The sequence below is a fragment of the Homo sapiens genome, chromosome 15, assembly GCF_000001405.40.
Source record: "Homo sapiens chromosome 15, GRCh38.p14 Primary Assembly".
NCBI lineage: Eukaryota > Metazoa > Chordata > Mammalia > Primates > Hominidae > Homo > Homo sapiens.
In genome coordinates, this window is record NC_000015.10 from 56,822,287 (window position 1) to 56,826,057 (window position 3,771).

General features: G+C 45.5%; 1 annotated feature.

Moving 5' to 3' along the window:
* Window positions 1,881–2,050: an enhancer, noted in NCBI's record as "experimental_40384 CRE fragment used in MPRA reporter constructs". NCBI's record gives its function as "activates a minimal promoter by MPRAs in K562 erythroleukemia cells, with activity observed for both the introgressed and non-introgressed 15:57116450 variant alleles {active_cell/tissue: K562}" and the evidence as "EXISTENCE:reporter gene assay evidence [ECO:0000049][PMID:34662402]".

The following is a 3,771-nucleotide window of genomic DNA, read 5'->3' on the forward strand; positions in this document are numbered from 1 at the left end:
ACATGAAGTTAGCATCCTCCCTTTCCCCACACATTCTCCACCCCTGCCAAAGCCTTGGAAATAGAATTGCTGTCCATCACTGGCTTGGCAGGAAGCCACACATATTTGTAGTGGGGTCACAAATTCATTCACTCTGTACTCAGATGTGCGAGGAAAATATAGCTTCTGTATTTCTCCATAACTCATCTACTCATCCACAGGGAATTGGGAAAAAAGGACCCTAAATTTATCCCCTTCAGTTAAACTTAGTTCAGCTCAATAATTCAGATGCCTTCTTTATGTAAATTATCTTTAGTTTCTTTAGGTAAAATACGGTCTTTACATTTTCTCTCCATCTCTTTGTTGTCCTCCAAGTTAGTGACTCTGTCTCTGTTTAGTGGGGTCTGTAAGAATTTAGATGACCCACGCAGCAGAGATATTATCTGAATCCTCACTAACCAAAGGTGAAGTGGCTAGATTTTCTGTTTACTGGACTGGTGACCACTGAAGGTTGATTTTTCTGGTTTGGCTTTTTGAGGTAAAGTAATTTCCTCTGGAATCTGTGTTTCTGGCCATCTCAAAGTTTCTACTCAGGTACCTCTTTGTTTTAACCAGAGCCCTTTGGCGTACCTCTGTGCTCTCAAAACCTCTGTCTCATCAGAACACACGGGACTTGCTAGATCACCTGTACAACATCCCGGCCATGTAAGCCCAGGAGTGATGGCTCAAGCTCATCTATCAACCCACCTACTATACCACCTCCTCACCATCACTCCTTGCCAAGACTCTGGCCTCTGGCCTTCTCACTTCTTGTCTTCCTCATTTCTTCCATAATCCCTTGGAACTGGAAGGGGCAGTCTTTGGGCAACTCATTCACCCATGTACTATCTCCCTTCCAGGGTAGAGCAACGCATATCATGACCTAGCTTTCATAGGTGGTAAGGTTATCTTCTTTTTTCTTAAGAAAAAAACACTATGAGTTGAGGGCCCCATCTTAGTTCATGGTATGCCTTAAATCTGAATTTAAAAATCCTTTCTGGACAAAGCCTAAGTCTTGCTATAGATCAGTACGAACAATAATCAAAGCACAAAGGTCAGAAATTACTTTGTTGTTTTAGAGTTATGCTGTGCAATATGGTAACAGCTCCATGTGTCTATGTAACTTTAATTTTTAAATAATTAAGGTTTTTAAATTCAGGTCCTCAGTCATACTAGCTACAATACAAGTTTTCAGAAGCCACATGGGGATAGTGGCCACTATGTTGGACATCAAATATATAAAACATTAGCAGCATCACAGAAAGTTACATCGGACAGCTATTCTAGAGGCTGTCTACCCTTTTCCCTTTTCTGAGGCACTAAAACGCTTTTTCTTTTTGGTGACGGAGTCTCACTCTGTTGTTCTGGATGGGGTGCAGTGGTGCAATCTCAGCTCTCTGCAACATCCACCTCCCAGGTTCAAGCAGTTCTCCTGCCTCAGCCTCCCAAGTAGCTGGGATTACAGGTGCCCGCCACCAAGCCCAGTTAATTTTTGTATTTTTAATAAAGATGTGGTTTCACCATGCTTGCCAGGCTGATCTTGAACTCCTGACCTCAAGACCCACGTTGACCTCCCAAAGTGCTGGAATTACAGGCTTGAGCCACCGCTCCTGGCCTAAAATGCTTTTTAGATGGGTGGGAGCTTCCCAGAGAAAAAACAATTACTTATAATGGCCGCTGCTCTGCACTCCCAAGACGCGGGTTAGTCGATAAACCCCACCCACTTCCCCAAGTGCCGGTGGTATTCTTCTCTGTTTCTCCTAAGGAGAGGCTACATAATTTATGGAGCCCAGTAAAAAGCAAAACTTTATTCACAAATTATTTTAAGTTTCAAGCTATCAACACCAGAGCATGAATCCAAGTACAAGGTCTGAGGGCGGGTCCCAGTGTGACTGCATAGGGCTCGCACCTAGGAAGCTGGCCTTCTTTGAAGAGAATTGCACCCAACAGAGATGTCAAGGCAGCACTGTGGGCTCACTGGGGAATTTACTTATGAGCAGCAATGCCAGAGCCCACAGCTGCACTAGTGCTGACCAGGCTCAGATGTTAACTCTGACAGCTGCCCAGGGAATGCCTGTGGCTAGATGGAGCCACCCAGCCAAAAAGAAGTGACAGGAAATAAGGGCCCCAACATGTTGTATTGGAAAGCCCATTGCTGGAAGCTCTGGACATGTCAGCTGCTTCCAGCTGGGCATGTTTCTATCATAGCCAGGGTTGTGTCCAGCCAGGAAGGCTGAGACCTGTCAAGTCCATCATTTTAGAAACTGCTGAAGGATGGGGAAAAGGCAACACACCCAGGAACTACGGCACAGAGAACTATGGCCAGCTTTCTTACCTGGACTCTGGCTGTGAGCAGAGCATGGTGTCCAGGAGCCTGTGTGCAGAGGAGGTCTTACCTCCCCAACCTGAGAGACAAAGGGATTTGAGGTGGCTCACGCCTGCAATCCCGGCACTTTGGAAGGCTGAGGCGGGTGAATCACTTGAGGTCAGCAGTTCAAGACCAGCCTTGCCAAATGGTGAAACCCTATCTCCATTAAAAATACAAAAATTAGCCAGGTGTGGTGGCAGGCGCCTATAATCCCAGCTACTCGGGAGGCTGAGGCAGGAGAATTGCTTGAACCTGGGAGATAGAGGCTGCAGTGAGCTGAGATCGCACACTGCTCTCTAGCCTGGGTGACAAGAGTGAAACTCCATCTTAAAAAAAAAAAAAAAAGAAAGAAAGAATCTACTAGTAAGTCAAGTAGATGGAAACAGAGGAAACCAGACAAAAACAAAAAGATGTGAGGTGGAAGGTGAGACTTGGAACTTGTAAATAGTCTGTAAGATAAGTAAATTAACTCCCACAGCTTTTTAGAGTATAGCAGATTGGTACCTACACATAGAAATAATTGGCAAAATGCAGTAAAAAATAACTTTTAAATAAACAGCTGAATGCAAAAGGAAGAAAACGGTTTTAGAATAAAGAGAGAGGACGAAGCCGCAGTGGGTTCAGCCTGACTTGACCCCAGCTCAGCTGATAGGCTCAGTGGTTCTTGTGCAGAATTCTCCTTGGATGCCCTTGTTGCTCATATTGACCCCTGGCTTTTGGCCTGGGGGACCCAGGCCCCAGGCCACCTTCTCTGTTTAGGTTCAGAAGCTGCAAAAGAGAACTGCCTGAATTCCCTGAGACACAGGCTCTGGAGACCCAGGAGAAGTCCTTGGAGGAAAACCTTGAAGAGCTACTCCTGCCATGAAGAGGGAAATAGAAAAGTCCAAATCCGCAGTCTGAAAAAGTAGTATGGAATCCTGGGCTTTTCGTTTCTCCCAGGGGTCTTTTAAATTTTAATCCTACCTTCTAACTTCCAGTATAGAGGAAAGGGGAGAATAAAGAAAAAAACGGCTGGGTGAGGTGGCTCACACCTGTAATCTCAGCATTTTGGGAGGCCGAGGAGGGCAGGTCACTTGAGGTCAGGAGTTTGAGACCAGCCTGGCCAACATGGCAAAACCCCATCTCTACCAAAAATTCAAAAATTAGCTGGGTGTGATGGCGCATACTTTTAATCCCAACTACTTGGGAGGCTGAGGCGGGAGGATCACTTGAACCCGGGAGGTGGAGGCTGCAGTGAGCCGAGATCATGCCAGTGCACCACTTCAGCCTGGGCAACAGAGTGAAAAAGAAAAGAAAGAAAAAGACTAGCTCAACCTAATAGAAAGTAGAAAAGAATAAAGAATCAAAGTTAAAGAATAACTGGCTGAAGGAGGATTGCTTGAACC